A 14,113-nucleotide genomic window follows, 5' to 3' on the forward strand; every position below is an offset into this window, starting at 1 on the left:
TAATGCTTTTTTTCTGACATTAGTTCTTGTTTGAACACACAAAGCTACACTTTTCTATAAGTAAAAATGAATATGTCAGACTTTCAATTCGGAAACTTGAGTCAAATCAGCAGTCTCTGGGAAGAGGAAAGTTGTAAGGCCTATGTTCTTTCATAATGGCCTAGCCCTTCCCCCTCATCTGACATTTTCTTGTGGAAAACATCTGGTTTAAATAAGCACTAATGGCAAACTTGATCATCAGAAACTAGAATGCAGAAATCACAAACAATGTATAGTAGGTTAAAGGGATGCCAAAAAGCAGTATGCAAAGAGAAGTCAACAGCAAATTTATTTTATATATAAATTTCACCATTTTGGTGCTTGTCTTCTAACTGCCTTACACTTTTCTCTTCTGGGAACGGCCAAGGCCCCCAAAACACAAAAGTGAACTATGATCCCACTTTGCTAGACTCTTGAGATGGCTCTGTAAACATACCCTCTAATCTATGGTCCTTCCTTCCTACTTCCTCAGAATTCACTGAAAACAATAGAGCTCTAGGAACTCCTATTGCTTAAAACAGGGGTGAGGATCGTGTTTATTCAGGACTATGGCTGTTAAATTAGCAGGACTGTTTTGACTAGCTGGTACTCAGGGGTAGGGTTGTCATGTTGGTCAACATGCCTATCCCATTTGGGACTACTCTAAAGGAAATAGGAATGCCTAAAAAGTTTCTAGACTTCTAAGAATTCTATGACTGGGGTTAGGGATGACTTATAGGCAGGAACGGAGCCAGACTCCTGACGGTATCCAAGGTTTATAGGCTTGGTGATAGAATTTACCAGAGTAGAAGAGAAAGTTTTCTGAGTAGCTAGTGTTTTGAATGGCATGGGGTTTGTGACAAGATTTGGGGTAAGCCAGTGAGAGATGCTTTGGAGTTATCTGGGACCTCATTTATTCTGGTGGAATGCCAGAAGTACAGGAGGCATCTCCTAGGGTATTTAGTTTTTTAGAGGCTAGGAAAGGTAGTAAAGGTAAAGTAGATACAAATTTGTTACTATGACTTTTATGGAGCCTTGAGATAGTTATACGAAGTAGGAGGTTGAGCAGGGATTATTTTAATCGGAGAAGAGATTAGTAGAAACTCATTTAGGAGGATTAGAGCATGCTGAATGAGATGTCAGAAGCTTTTAGGATCCAAGAAAAGTGGATGGCAGAGAGAGAGAGGGGTCAGCACTGTGTTTAATTTCCTTCTTTACCGTTTCTCGTCTGCCTTTCCTGGATATTACCTATTTCAAACTAAAGGGAAATGTGTGGAGGCTGCATCGGGTAGCAGAAAAACATGGAATAGGGAACTCTGCCTCTGAAATAGCATATAATACTTCCCACAGGGTTTAATGTGAAATAAGTGGTATAATCTAGGTCAAGTGGCTTAGGTAGAATACTGATCAAGTGACCAGATGTCTTGGAATGAGTAGGATAATCTTAGATTTTGGCTTCCTATCCTGTATCCAATTCACTTTACCATTAGGGCTTACTATTACCTTGATGTCTGGAGTGAATAGACCCTTATCAACTTACGATAAACATTTATCAGTAGTTTAGACAGAATTCTTAAACTGGATTCAGAACTAGAATTATAATAGCAGAGTTACTGTATGTTTCAAACAGTGATTTGGCCTTAGTAAAGTTTGGTCTCTTAAGATTTATTACTCATTTATGGCTAAGTATATCACAAATAAATGTTAGGTCCCCTAGTGAGTATTCAGCAATCATTTCCTTGGGATCTAAGGCATACCAGGTGCTATGTTCAAAATGAATGGGACATGGTTCTTGTTTTTAAGATGCTCCCAGACCAGTGGGGCAGACTGGTATAAAAATAACTAACTGTCGGCCAGGCGCGGTGGCTCACACCTGTAATCCTAGCACTTTGGGAGGCTGAGGCAGGTGGAACACCTGAGGTCAGGAGTTCAAGACCAGCCTGGCCAATATGGTAAAACCCCATTTCTACTAATAAAATACAAAAATTAGCTGGGCGTGGTGGCATGTGCCTGTAATCCCAGCTGCTCGGGAGGCTGAGGCAGGAGAATCACTTGAACCCAGGAGGCGGAGGTTGCAATGAGCTGAGATCACATACCACTGCACTCCTGCCTGGGCAACAGAGTGAGACTCTGTCTTAAAAAATAAAAAATAAAAATAACATAACTAACTGTATAATATAATAATATGATAAATGCTATTCTGTTGGTATGAATCAAGTAGCACAGAGGAAGAAAACAATTCACTCTAGTAGATGGTTGGCATTTTGAGAGAGATATAAATATAATTGTGCTCATTTATAACATGAATTATAAATGTAGCAGCATTGGAAATGGACATTTAATAAGGTGTAGCACTACTAAATTGGATTAAGTGCATGCACTGGGTTTATAGATGGATGTTCCCATCAAATTTGTTCTTTATTTGTATCCCTACCCCTGAGCAGTCCTTGCCTGGCAAGTGATTGGTGTTTGCACTGTTGGGGGTAGGCTTTAGGTTCCTGTTTGGGCACCAGGAGCTGTAGGGTTAGAAGAAGTAATGTCTTTTTCTCACCTATTGCAAGGTTCATTACTGAACCCTATAGCAAAGGCAGAGTAACAAGCAAAAAGCATAACAAATTTATTTAACAGAGTTTTATGTGACACTGAAGCCCTTAGAAATGACCCAAAGACCCAGGGAAAACTGTGTATTTATATGGATAGTCATACAGAAGTATGATTGGAGCACCACAGAGTATCATCTAATGGTAATCAACTAGGGAGAACTTTGCAAGCCCTGTTTGTTCGAATGGCTTCCAAGTATAGGGTAGGACCCCTCTGGAATGAAGATCTTAAGGCCTACTTTTAGGGAAGATAGGTCAGAAAATTATTTTATGGCCTGCTTCAGAGGGAAAGGCAAGAGAAGGTCAGAGAGTGACCTTCCTGTTTCTGTGGTTTTCCAATGTCCTTTAGCTTAAAATGCTTGGTATGCCAGGGTGCCATATTTGGGGGTATCCTGTTCTAAGCCCCAACATTTCCCTGGAAGGGCGATGGCTTTTTGATCTAAGCAAAGTTATCAGAGGGAATGAGGTACAAATCAATAGAGGACAGACTATGAGATCAAATTCTGACTCTACTACTTAAGAGCTGAGTGTCTTTTGACAAATTACATGTATTCCTGGTGACTCTGATATCTCTATAAAATAGGGATGATAGTAGTACCAACCTTACAAGGCTGTGCCTCAAATGTGTAATAAATATGAAAACACTTTGTAAAGTGCTGTAAAAATATATAAACATTATTGTTTTATCACAAATATCAGCACACCAATTATTTATGTAGTTCTATACATTACGCAAAAAGTTACAGAGATGTGGGGCTCATCTTCTAGGAAAACAGAATCAGAATTCTGAATCAGCTCTAAAGTCGGAGACCAAACCTCGAGCTCTCTCTAGGTGCTGTTTCTCCTGAAAAGTTGACTTGTAAGTCTAACCCAGTGCATTGCCTCTGATGGCCTGGTGTTCTTCAGATAGGTAAAAAGCAACTCGAAAAGGGGAAGAGTATTGTGCTTTCCGCAAAGACGATACTTTTTTGCTCTTTGGAAATTCTTGCTCTTTTGGTTTTGAGCTCTGAAGGTGAACAATCCAGCTGATTCAAATCCCCAGAGTAGCCCTAATAATAGGAAAACCGTGACAACCGCAGATATTAAAAACATACCTCAATTTGCACAACTGGGGTAAGACAAATACATATGGTATTATATGAAAAAAATTCCTTTATGCAAATCTAGAAACTTACTTTAATGTCATTTCATTTAACATCAAAGAGATGATGTCAAAGAGAACATGTTTACCACTGGGAGAGTCAAATGAAAGAATTAGTCTTCTAGAATTCTTTCAAATGAAAGAATTTGTGTGTAAGGTTTGATTGGTTATTTGGCAAACACTAATATTAATAAAAAGACCAGTACTTCTAGATATGGGCCACTTTGTAGAGGGATTATGCCAGAACTCCCATAGTATGTATAGAGACCCTTGAAGGAGGGTCCTCAAACCCATAAGGGAATTTATTTTAAAAATATTTTGCTTATGGGCCCATAACTTCATTTTATGTCTCTCTAGCTCACAATAGAGGATTATAATCTATTGGGCTGATATATCTGAGTTAACATCAGATTAATCGTATCACTTTGTGTATGAATATCATATAAAAATGTTAGTGGCTGCTGTTTTCACCATGCTCTGTCATAATTAAACAATTTATTTCATGCTGAAGCTTCCCTGTCCTGATTCTGGGATTGTCAGTTTTATGGTTCTCATTTTACACAGATAAAACCAAACTTTTCAGATGTCAAATAATGTGCTGCAGACTTCCATGCAGTTCTCAGCTGCAGTTATAAATCACTGTTGTTTTAAGTAAGTGACCTAAATGCCATTTTTATTAGGAATAGAGTGGCTAGGAGAGACTAACATAAAGCCTCTGATGGAGTTCTAACATTTCTCCTTGAGCAGCAGGAAGAGAATTGCATTTCCTGCTGGCTAGAGAAGCCAGGTCAATTTTGTCCTACCATTCTGGGAACTATCACTTCAGACACCTAACATATCCAGGTCCTGCTTATTTTTCTTGAATGAGCTATTAAAATGCATGTATGTGTGCACATACACACATACATACACATCATGCAGCCATTTGCCTCTGTGTATACATACATATCATTGTGTAGATTGCACTTTTTCAGAAAAGACAACTGATCACCAGCACGTCACTCTCACTTCCTCCCATGTACATTTTGTATCTTCCCCACAGGGAAGTGAAACTGGTGGTGGGTTGGAAGAGATTGAGTTTGCTGAAGTGGATTCTGCCAAGTGGCTGTTTGTGGATGACCTTTGTCTTATAGGGGGTAATAGTGGGAGTTACGGATTCCTGGCAAAATGTCTGTTCACATCTCATCACAATTAGAATCATAAACTATGGGCTTTGTGGATTTGTTCACCTGAGATAGTGATGAACTAGGAATCAAAAGATCTGGGTTTTAGCTCTATCTCTAAATATCTACATATATGTGAAGATAGCTGTGTATACCACTGTGGATATTTTCCCTCTTTTGTCTTATCTTCTCCATGAGACTTTCAAATCCTCAAAGGCACAGAGCATCTTTAATTTACACAGCATTCACTTTTTCATCTTTGTTTGTTCCTAGACTGCATTTAGTAGAGATGTAATAAGTACTTACTGACTGATAGAATGAGACCACATCCTGCCTTAGATGAACTGGAATTCCATTTGAAAGTGTTTCCAACCAGAAATATTCTGCTTTGGTGCCACTGCTACTGTTCAGATTCAACTATAGCAGCCACAGTGTGATCAGACACCTTCTCCCCTCAGGCGCCACCCTTGGCCACCCTGAGAAGATGGGCCCCCCTGCCAGCATGTCTTTGGGGCCCAGTGTTTCTGTCTCTCTGCTTCTCCCAACACTCAGTGGCCTGAAGAAGAAGAGCTTTGGTATATAATTTCTTTTTTCCCCCCAGCCAAGAGGAATTGAGCACTCATGAATATTTTAAGCGTGTTACAAAGAACACAAAAGCTGTGCCTTCATGGGAGGATTAAATGTTGGTGTTTGACTCCTCACAATCAGCACATTTTAAAACATAAACCAGATCATGTCAGTCTCCTGCTTCAGAGCCACCAGTGGTCTCCCACACTCTTGCAACCAAACCCAAGGCTGGGTGCCAGCCTCCAAGGCACTGCCTGACTCAGCCCTGCCCACTGCTCTGACCACCTCTTGCAGTAATTCCAGCCATGCTGATCTACTCTGGGTTCCCAGGGCATCGTAAGCATCTTTCTCTTTAGGACCTTTCTACACATCTCCCCTGCCTGGGACCCTGCCCTGAACCCTGTGCTACCGCAGGATCGTCACTCAGATCTCAGCCTGAATGTCCTGTCTCAGACAGGACTCCCCTGACTGTCCTATCAGTATCTACACCCGATATTTTATTTCCTCACATCACTCATCATATCTGAAATTGCCTGCTCATTTCCTGGTTTTCTTGTTTACTGTTGGACCCTGACTAGGGGGTCTCACTCTACAAGGGCAGAAAGAGGTTGTCTTAGTCTGGTTCTCTGTTGTTACCCAGAAGCTGGAACAACGCCTGTTCCCCAGCGGTTGCTCAGTAAACACATGTGGACTCAATGAGGGATTGAATTGGAAGTTATTTACCTCTCTCCTGGCTTTTGCTTCCCTCTCTTCCTTTGTCTCTCTTTTGCGGAATCTGTACCATGAAAAGGGCTGTTGTCCAGTAGTGGAACACAGGCCTTGGATTGAGGTCCTGGTTGACTCACTTGATCTGAAGCTTCTGGTCATGCACAACTGCCAATTGGAAACAGCTACTATAGAACCACCCTCTTTTTCCAAAGGGTCAACAAGGAAATCAAAAATAGAAATACATTTCAGGTAGTCATGTAATACTTTACTAATACTAACCCTAAGAATAACTTTGCGATAACTTTGCAACCTTAACTTCCATTAGTCTCACTAGGCAGTTCTGCTTCTTCAATTCCTTTAGTTTGTTACATGCCCTGCGATCCAGCCCAAAACAGGAGAAGCCCTGTAGAATATATGTTGCTATATCCTCAGATATGGCCAATAAAATTTGTTTGTGACCTGTAAGGAGCAGATGGTTCACTGAAGGCCATTCATAGAGGAGGCAAAGCACCAAAATTCAGTGTCTAGCCTTAATTTTTCCTTATTAGAGAGTCTGGAATAGAGGGATACATTTTCAGGATCTTTCCTAATAGAGGAGTTCTTTTTTTATTTGGATGAAGAGATTATTTCTGTAATTTCCCACAGTCTTAGGCTGAACTCTCCAAGTAATGAACTTTTACTCAGAATAGTCTAGGCTTTGTGTACTCATGGAAAGTGTAATATAGCTTGCCTTGTTGGTTTTTCTGGAGATAGCACATTTGGGTCACAGGGGTTCAGCCAGTCTTCGGCTGTTATGCAGTGTAATTTTATGGGAATAGTTTTATAATGTTAACATCTGTAGACTGAGAGCTTGATGAAGACATCACCCAGATTGCCTGGGAAACGCCACTGACTTTGGGAGCTAATTCTTGATAGGTAAAATATTTAGCTCTCTCTCTGTCTCTTTTTTTTCTTTGCCTAGATACAGCTACCAACCTTACCATTTCCATCTTTTATGGCAGATGAGCTATGTGTGTATTTTTTTTTATCTCCTTGCAGTATGCATTTTTGCAAGTTAGGGGATAAAGCCCAGGCCCTTGGCTTTTTAACTTTTCTGCTTCCTTGATATTTGTACATGAGATAAGATGTTAAAGGATTTCTCTTTACAGATTTCTGTTGAAGAGTTATAGAATTGACTGAATATTCATATGTGTACTGTCCTCTGCTTCATTAACTCTATGTTCATATTTCTTTTTCCCATGAAGCCTCTGTCGCCCATTTTGTTTAAAATTGCAACCTATTCCCACACCTTAAGCTAAATCTCCCTTACCCTAGTTTGTTTCCCATAGTAATGATCACTTTCTAACATACTGTATCATTTGTCATTTATTACGTTTATTGTCTGCCTCCCACCACTAGAATGTAAACTACAGGGAAGGATTTCTATCTGTTTTATTCACATTGTATCCCAAGTGCCTACAGCAGTGCTTGGTGCATAGTAAGGCTTTGATAAATATTTATTAAATGAATGCACTGACATCCTAGTGAAAAGACAGATACTGTAGTGTAGTGATGAAAAGCTTGGGCTTTGGAGTAAAACAAGCCTGGGTTTGAATCCCAGCTTTGCTGCTTACCAGCTGTGTGTCTTTAGAAAGTGATTTAACCTCTCTGAGACTCATTTTTCTCATCTATAAAATGAATATTATAGCACCTTGAAAGTGTGTTGTGAAGATAAAAAAAAAAGATAAATAGGCAATACAGCATGGTAGGTAAGAAACAAGGCTTTATCGTCCAATGGATATGGGTTCTGGGCTTTAGCTTCCAGTTATGGCTCTCCCATTACCTTATACAATTTTTAGAAGCCCTCTAAGCTCATTTTCTTTACCTGTCAAATGGGTATAAAATACTATGGCCTGCCTCACAGGAGAGTGGCCAGGATTAAAGGAGGTAATCTCTGCGTAGTGCTTAGCAGACTGATCAACTCGTAACAAGGGACTAATTAATTGAAGATGACGATGATGATAATGTTTGAAAGGTGCTTAGCTTTATTGCTCACACATCATAGTAATTGCTCAATAAATGGTGGCCTTGACAATAAATGAAGGACAACTTTATTAGAACTCTGGGAGCCTCCCAAATTTGCCATTTTCTTTTTGTTCTCCTTTCTCCAGGGGGAAGTAAGGCAAATGCATGAAGTTATCTTTGTGAGATACTTGTTTCAACTCGAAAATGAAACAGCAAGCAATTTTTGTGTGCCACACTTTTTGCCCTGTCACCAACAGTTCTGTTATGATTTCAGAACTTAATTTCTAATTTTTGGATGCAGTTGCACAGAGGCATTTCTTCACCACGTGATCACTGTGGGGGCTTAATATAACTCAGGCATTTGCTCAGCTGGTTTGGAGCTAATGGAATTGGCTGTAGTGGCTGTACTTAGGGGAGATTATAATGTCTCAAGGGTTTCATTGGCTTCCACTTCCTTCTGCAGACTTATAGTAAAAGACAAGAGATGCCTCTTCCTGGCTCTATTTCTCATTTGCTGTGTGACTCTCAGCAAGACACTTCGCTGCCGCTGAGAACCACACCCACTAAGTGGACGACCCAGTTATGAATCCTTGCTCCATTCTGCTGTATGACCCTGACCAAATTATTCAATGTTGCCATATCTTATTTTCCATCTTTGTAAATAAATAAATGTATATGACAAATAGAATGATCCTATACCTTAGGGCTTTGTGAAGATTAAATGAGATACTACATGTAAAGAGCACTTTGGAAGTACTCAATAATACTTATTATTATGTTTTCTGTATAAAAAATTGAAATGTTCTATTACCATGGTATTTTGTTTATAAACACTTTATATATATATATATATATATATATATATATTTTTTTTTTTTTTTTTTTTTTTTTTTTTTTTTTTTTTGAGATGGAGTCTCTCTCTGTCACCCAGGCTATAGTGCAGTGGCGTGATCTCGGCTCACTGCAGGCTCTGCCCCCGGGTTCACACCATTCTCCTGCCTCAGCCTCCCCAGTAGCTGGGACTACAGGTGCCCACCACCTTGCCTGGCTAATTTTTTGTATTTTTAGTAGAGATGGGGTTTCACCGTGTTAGCCAGGATGGTCTCGATCTCTTGACCTGGTGATCCGCCTGCCTCGGCCTCCCAAAGTGCTGGGATTACAGGCGTGAGCCACTGCGCCTGGCCCAACACTTTCTATATTTTAAAAGTTCTAGAACTTCGGCTTCTGCCCATGATGTCCTGTGGGGTCCTGAAAGCAACTGTTGAAGAATATCTTTGCTTGAAAAGAGCCACGAGTGACCACTGTGTCTTCCTACAAGTGGTCAGACACAATTGTCTCTTGATTATTTAGTGTAATGTAGGGGAATAACTGAGATTAACTGGTGGTTATGATTTTGCTTAAGGCAGTGTGATGAGGACACTAAGGTTAGGGCAGCTCCTGAGCAGGAGGAGGCTGCTATCCAGAGTCAGGAAGTCTCCCAAGGTGTTTTTTGCCTGGTGATCAGCTTTTGGCCAAAAGCCTATTACTCTCAGGTGAACCTGGCCCTGTTCTTGGTCCCAAAGCTCCCGGACCAGGCTGAGCTATAAAAATAGAATGCCAAATTATTGATCCTACAGTGTAAAATTAAGCTGTTCTATCCACTGGATAGGCTTGCCTAAGTTCCCCTTTAAGGCAAATTAAGTGACAAATCAAATTATTGGACAGTTGCTTGGTAAGTACAGAATTGATGTGAGGGGAGTTAAGTGATTCAAATGCTTATATTATCAGGCCCCGTTAGCCTGCTGTTCCACCTCTACAGTGCAGATCTATCTGTCAGGTGACCACTTGAGTGGGCACACAGGGCTTCCTGGCAACCCTGATTAGGTTCGGAACAAGCACTTCCATCATTTTTCTTTTTTTTCTTAGAGATGTGCTCTCACTCTGTCATACAGAGCTGGAGTATAGTGGTGCAATTATAGCTCACTGCAGCCTCGAACTCCTGGGCTCAAGCGATCCTCTCCCATCAGCATCCTGAGTAGTTGGGATTACAGGTGTGAGCCTCCATGCCAGGCTATACTTTATATAAAATTTTTTAGCTGACAGACTTCCTCCCCATATCCTGTTCTACATATTATTTTTTATTTAAATTCTATTTTTCATCAGAGTAAAACATGTATAATGTTTTACAAATCTAGTAATAGTATAGATTTGTACTGAAAACCAGTTTCTTGCCCCAATTTCCCCACTCTCCTTTGCTTCTTATGCTTCGGGAGCAGCCACTTTCAAATCTCTTGTTGATTCTACTAGTGACCCCCACATTTCTAACTGATATGCTTGAATTGCTGTTTCTTAATTTTTCTATTTTAGACATTATCTCATGTTTTCTATGGACGATGACCATAGGGTACTTACACCATTCTCTCCTTCCATTTCACTCTTCCCCTTCTTTTTTCCGGTATGATTATATCATAATATTCAGTTAATATTTACATTACTGTGACAATGTAAGCATTCATGGCAGAGCTACAAAATGTACCATGATTACATTTACTTTCTTCCTTCCTTTCTTGTTTGCATTTTAAAATTTATCTCTGGAACACACATTTCTCTACCCACATCTCCTATCTTTAAATCGATAAGGGCATATGAAACCATAATGCCTTGCCTTTACTACACCTAACAAAATTAACAATTCATTAATATCATCCAATACCCAGCCCAAAATCAGATTTCCCTGATTGTCTCAAAGATATCCTTTTACAGTTGATTAGTTTAAATAAGGACCTAAATAAGGTCCATAAATTGCATTTGGTTGTTATATCCTTTTACTTTCTTTTATTCTGGAGTACTTCCCAGAATAAAATAATAAATGTCACAAATAATGTCACAAATAATTAATAATTATGTCAGAAATAATTACTTCCTTACTCTCCTTTTATTTGTGACATTAATTATTTGGAGAAATTGGATATCAAATGCCCTATATTCTAGATTTGGCTGATGGCTTCTTCACCACGTCCTTTTAACTTGTTCTGCTAGATCTTATATTTCCCATAAACTGGTGGTTGCTGCTAAGGTTTGATTAGATTAGGGTTTAGAGGGTTTTGTTTTGTTTTTTCTTTTTAGGCAAAAACACTCTATAGGTGGTGCTAGTACTTCCTATTTTATCATGTCACAAGGCAATAATGTCTGACTATATCACCTTTAATGGTGATTAAGTTGATCAGTGGTTCGGGATAGTGGCAGCCTGATCTTCTTCCCATGACCAAGATTTCTGTCAACTTTTCACCTACTGGTTTTAGCACCCATTGATGATCATTGCCTAGATCCATTGTTTAATGAGACATATATTCTGTCCTTTCATTCTGCAGTTCTGTCCTGTGCCAGTGAGTGCTGATTATTATGCAGTTTAACTCCAGAAGGCCATCTTATTTTCCTCATTTCCAAGTCTGTGTTAGAGTCAGGGAGTTTCTCTGTGACCCTCATGTGCTACCTGAGAACTGACTAAATTTATATGAAAGTAACATTCTTATAGTTGTATTGATTAAAATTTTTATTTGAACCTCTAGTTGAGCTTTGCTGTTGGCTTTGAAAACATAATGGAAAAGTGGAAAGCATTCTTGTCAGTCATGTTGAAAAGTAACTGGCAGAAAAAGTGGACTTAAAAAAAAAAAGTAGTGGAACAAATAAGGGGACTCTGCTTTGGTTTATAATGCCTCCTTTCTCTAGGGTAGGAAAATTTTGAAGTCCAGTGGGGTCTCTCCTGCCTGCGAGGGAATTGGCGAGAAGCTATCAGGATACGCATGGATGACACACAGTCACACAGTCATTTGAGGACTTTTTGGTTGCTGTTTTGTTTTAGTTTTTACCCCCTTAGAGAAGTCTTTCATAAAAATTTTTCCTAAACCCTGTTGCATGCAAATTAGGGCTTTTCCTTTCCTCTGTAATGGGGCCTGATATTCTTTGATGTGTTGTAGCAGAATTTAGCTTCTAAATACAGTTTGAAACTAGCTCTCCACACACACACACACACACACACACACACACACACACACACACACACCCTTGAATTCTCAGCTGACATGTTATTTCTATTTTTTTGTCCTTACTGCAAGAACCTGTCCTGTAGGAACCAAGTTCAGTGGTAGGAGGAGATTATGTAGACATCTTGCTTCTACTTCCTGTAAAGTTGGATCATGCAGACATGAGATGCAGGTGAACAGGAGAAGGAAGTCCTCTCCAGTGTCTCCCAGCTGGGAGCCTGTTTTCATGCTTTTCAAAGAGCTCCTTTTTTGAGACAGATGAATCCCTGGTATAAATACCTGTGCTGTTATTATAGAAAGAGACAGATTGGTCACCTTGTTAATGACTTCCAGTATTCCAGAGTTCCTCCTCTGAAATACTCTGCAGATCCAAATTATCATAATATAGGGGCCTCTTCTGCCATTTAGAATGACCTTCCACATAACTCTCAATGTCCAAATTGGGCCCTTCCTTCAAGGCCCAGATCAAATGACTCCTCCCCTGAGTCTCCCATTGAGAAGTCATACCTTCCCATCTCCTAGCTTCCCATCCATCCTCTTTTCATGGATTACTTGCTACATTTCATTTTAGCTCATTTGCGTACTCATTTTACTTTTTTTTTAAACAGAAAAATATCAGTCTTATCTTTGTTTTAACCACGATTTGTATTTAATAAGTATTTTCATAACATTTTTAATTTTAATAATTAATTACTTGAGTAATTTTGTTTTCTGAGATATTCAGCTTTTATTTCAACTATGCTTCCAGTATCTACAGGGGAGTCTGTCAGTCACATGTTGAGCCAGGTTTTCTATTTCAGAAGAGGAAGGAAAAGAATGTGTAGGGGAATTAGTATGGAACTGGAGTGAGAAGAACTAGATTCAAAACCCGTCCCCACCACTTCAGAGCAACTGCTTTAGTGCAATTGGTATGTCAGCAGGGGCCTTCCCTCAAAAATACACAGCTCTGTAGCAAAAGTCATCTGTAAGACATATTTAAGACTTAGTTCATCAGAAAGAGGGTAGGGAAGAAAGGACTGTGTAGATTTATGAGCAGTGGTGGATGGCACAGGGATGGGGTCTTGGGCCCTCAAAGCCCTCCGAGGTAGTACTGGCTACTGGGAAAAGGATGTCGGGGAGCAGGTCCCACTTTTAGCTGCACTTGAAAAGATGAGTGTACAAAGCTTATGGAGTACTCAGGACGGAGAGAACATGGTGAGTGTTAGGGAAGGAAGCCTTAAATATAAACTTTACTCTTTAACCTCCTTGCAATCTCACTCTGAACCTCCTTAGTCCCAGGTATGGGTTTCTCTCACTTCTTACTTCCATAGTCCTCTCTTGGAAGCTCTTTGGCTGAATTAATGAAGGGGACCACTACTCATAAACCATAACCAGCACTTACGAGGAGCCTCACATTAGTAATGGACGACAACCCTCAGAGACAGCCATAGGTCCTAATGCTATTATTAATAGTCAAACCTGTGTAGAGAAAAAGGAGAAGCCAAGATCCAGTTCCACGGGACATAACAATTCACAAGCAGCTCATCCTTATTTCAGAAAGCCAGTAAGACCTAGCTTTCTCATGGAGGTTATTCTTTCACCGTCAGTCTGCCTCTTTTTCTGGGAGGTGCCCTCCCCTTCAGGATCAAGGAATGTAAAGACCATGAGATATGGAGTCAGACTTGGGTTTAGGCCCATTTATATGCTGTAAACTTTAGGCAAGTCACTTTTTCTCTCTGATACGGAAAGAGATATAATATATACCTTATTGATGTTGATAAAGATGTTCAGATGAAATTTTATATTCATATAAATGTGTATATTATATATATGGCCCGTTCATTATTTTAAAGCAATGTAAATAATTCTTATCTATTACCATAGTATTTCAAAGGCTACATCTTGCCACAG

General features: G+C 39.7%; 1 protein-coding gene across 12 annotated transcripts in view, besides 4 other annotated features; it reads left to right on the forward strand.

Moving 5' to 3' along the window:
• RAD51B (RAD51 paralog B) overlaps positions 1-14,113 on the forward strand; it is an 863,318-nt gene that overhangs the window by 443,820 nt on the left and 405,385 nt on the right. The window lies entirely within an intron of this gene.
• Positions 4,503-4,622: an enhancer, noted in NCBI's record as "active region_8592". NCBI's record gives its function as "activates an Ori minimal core promoter by ATAC-STARR-seq in GM12878 lymphoblastoid cells {active_cell/tissue: GM12878}" and the evidence as "EXISTENCE:reporter gene assay evidence [ECO:0000049][PMID:35858748]".
• Positions 4,973-5,122: an enhancer, noted in NCBI's record as "active region_8593". NCBI's record gives its function as "activates an Ori minimal core promoter by ATAC-STARR-seq in GM12878 lymphoblastoid cells {active_cell/tissue: GM12878}" and the evidence as "EXISTENCE:reporter gene assay evidence [ECO:0000049][PMID:35858748]".
• Positions 5,273-5,452: an enhancer, noted in NCBI's record as "active region_8594". NCBI's record gives its function as "activates an Ori minimal core promoter by ATAC-STARR-seq in GM12878 lymphoblastoid cells {active_cell/tissue: GM12878}" and the evidence as "EXISTENCE:reporter gene assay evidence [ECO:0000049][PMID:35858748]".
• Positions 11,994-12,043: an enhancer, noted in NCBI's record as "active region_8595". NCBI's record gives its function as "activates an Ori minimal core promoter by ATAC-STARR-seq in GM12878 lymphoblastoid cells {active_cell/tissue: GM12878}" and the evidence as "EXISTENCE:reporter gene assay evidence [ECO:0000049][PMID:35858748]".

The sequence above is a fragment of the Homo sapiens genome, chromosome 14 (assembly GCF_000001405.40).
Source record: "Homo sapiens chromosome 14, GRCh38.p14 Primary Assembly".
Taxonomy (NCBI): domain Eukaryota; kingdom Metazoa; phylum Chordata; class Mammalia; order Primates; family Hominidae; genus Homo; species Homo sapiens.